Here is a 2,627-nt window from a genome sequence, read left to right as displayed (position 1 = left end):
ATGAGATCTTTAATACAGAAAACTGGGGCTTTAATATAGAAAATTCTGAGTTGAGAGTAATGCCCTAATTAAAAAGAAATTAACTCATTTCCAACACCTGCAGGTCAAGCAGAGCTTTATGCATGGGCCCTAAACTCAGAACACAGCCCCCTCACACAGTCTCAAGACAGGCAGCAAACCCTGATGGGATGGATTCACATTCAATCAACCAATACATATTTACTGAGCAACTAGTATATGTTCACCAGAGATCTAGGTACTGGGGGAGATATAATAAGCCTAAGACTCAGTTCCTGTTCACAGCTTATTGGGAAATCAAACCATCCATTTTAAAAGGATAACTAAAAGATAAAGTGGAATACTAAATTGGGGGGCAGGGGCAGAAAATCAGCACTACAGGGGTTTAAAAGAAACACAAATCTCTTGAAGTTGGAGCAATTAGGAAAGTCTTCAAATAGCTATTTGGGGCTGGATTAGAGGGGGTTAAAAGGGAAAAGGGGTGGGGTGTGGTGGCTCACACCTGTAATCCCAGCACTTTGAGAGGCCTAGGTGGGTGGATTGCCTGAGGTCAGACCAGCCTGGCCAACATGGCAAAAGCCCGTCTCTACTAAAAATACAAAAAATTAGCTGGGTGTGGTGGTGCACCCCTGTAATCCCAGCTACTAGGGAGGCTGAGGCAGGAGAATCGCTTGTACCTGGGAGGCTGAGGTTGCAGTGAGCCAAGATTGTGCCACTGCACTCCAGCCTGGGTGACAGAGCAAAGCTCTGTCTTAAAAAAAAAAAAAAAAAAGGCAGGAGGAGAAAGACTCACTGAAAGGAAGTCTGTGGATGGGGAGCTATTGCAATGATCTGGCATGGGACAATAAAAAACGAAAAACTAAGAGAATTTAGTAACTCACTGGATGTGGGCAACAAGGCAAAAGCCTCTAGACTCAAAAGTAGTACCAGGGTTTCTCCAGAAATAAGAAGTTGAGAAGATTTGGAAGTTTGATTGGGGATCAACTGAGTTGGAAGTGGCATTCAAATGTACTAGATGGGGGGAGGAGCCAAGATGGCTGAATAGGAACAGCTCCGGTCTACAGCTCCCAGCATGAGCTACGCAGAAGAGGGGTGATTTCTGCATTTCCATCTGAGGTACCGGGTTCATCTCACTAGGGAGTGCCAGACAGTGGGCGCAGGTCAGTGGGTGCGCGCACCGTGCACGAGCCGAAGCAGGGCGAGGCATTGCCTCACTTGGGAAGCGCAAGGGGTCAGGGAGTTCCCTTTCCGAGTCAAAGAAAGGGGTGACGGACGCACCTGGAAAATCGGGTCACTCCCACCCAAATACTGCACTTTTTGGACTGGCTTAAAAAACGGTGCACCACGAGATTATATCCCGCACCTGGCTCGGAGGGTCCTATGCCCACGGAGTCTCCCTGATGGCTAGCACAGCAGTCTGAGATCAAACTGCAAGGCGGCAGCGAGGCTGGGGGAGGGGCGCCCGCCATTGCCCAGGCTTGCTTAGGTAAACAAAGCAGCCGGGAAGCTTGAACTGGGTGGAGCCCACCACAGCTCAAGGAGGCCTGCCTGCCTCTGTAGGCTCCACCTCTGGGGGCAGGGCACAGACAAACAAAAAGACAGCAGTAACCTCTGCAGACTTAAATGTCCCTGTCTAACAGCTTTGAAGAGAGCAGTGGTTCTCCCAGCACACAGCTGGAGATCTGAGAACGGGCAGACTGCCTCCTCAAGTGGGTCCCTGACCCCTGACCCCCGAGCAGCCTAACTGGGAGGCACCCCCCAGCAGGGGCACACTGACACCTCACACGGCAGGGTATTCCAACAGACCTGCAGCTGAGGGTCCTGTATGTTAGAAGGAAAACTAACAAACAGAAAGGACATCCACACCAAAAACCCATCTGTACATCACCATCATCAAAGACCAAAAGTAGATAACACCACAAAGATGGGGAAAAAACAGAACAGAAAAACTGGAAACTCTAAAACGCAGAGCACCTCTCCTCCTCCAAAGGAACGCAGTTCCTCACCAGCAACGGAACAAAGCTGGATGGAGAATGACTTTGACGAGCTGAGAGAAGAAGGCTTCAGATGATCAAATTACTCTGAGCTACGGGAGGACATTCAAACCAAAGGCAAAGAAGTTGAAAACTTTGAAAAAAATTTAGAAGAATGTATAACTAGAATAACCAATACAGAGAAGTGCTTAAAGGAGCTGATGGAGCTGAAAACCAAGGCTCAAGAACTACGTGAAGAATGCAGAAGCCTCAGGAGATGATGCGATCAACTGGAAGAAAGGGTATCAGTGATGGAAGATGAAATGAATGAAATGAAGTGAGAAGGGAAGTTTAGAGAAAAAAGAATAAAAAGAAATGAGCAAAGCCTCCAAGAAATATGGGGCTATGTGAAAAGACAAAATCTACGTCTGATTGGTGTACCTGAAGTGATGGGGAGAATGGAACCAAGTTGGAAAACACTCTGCAGGATATTATCCAGGAGAACTTCCCCAATCTAGCAAGGCAGGCCAACGTTCAGATTCAGGAAATACAGAGAACGCCACAAAGATACTCCTCGAGAAGAGCAACTCCAAGACACATAATTGTCAGATTCACCAAAGTTGAAATGAAGGAAAA

The 2,627-nt window shown here is 47.5% G+C and overlaps 1 annotated feature.

Moving 5' to 3' along the window:
- Positions 1,259-1,886: an enhancer, noted in NCBI's record as "NANOG-H3K27ac-H3K4me1 hESC enhancer chr8:23507883-23508510 (GRCh37/hg19 assembly coordinates)". NCBI's record gives its function as "activates a minimal SCP1, AML or CMV promoter by ChIP-STARR-seq in naive H9 embryonic stem cells {active_cell/tissue: H9 hESC(naive)}" and the evidence as "EXISTENCE:reporter gene assay evidence [ECO:0000049][PMID:30033119]".

The sequence above is a fragment of the Homo sapiens genome, chromosome 8 (assembly GCF_000001405.40).
Source record: "Homo sapiens chromosome 8, GRCh38.p14 Primary Assembly".
Taxonomy (NCBI): Eukaryota; Metazoa; Chordata; class Mammalia; order Primates; family Hominidae; genus Homo; species Homo sapiens.
The sequence above is the reverse complement of the archived record's forward strand: the minus strand, read 5'-3'. Positions and strand labels throughout refer to the sequence as shown.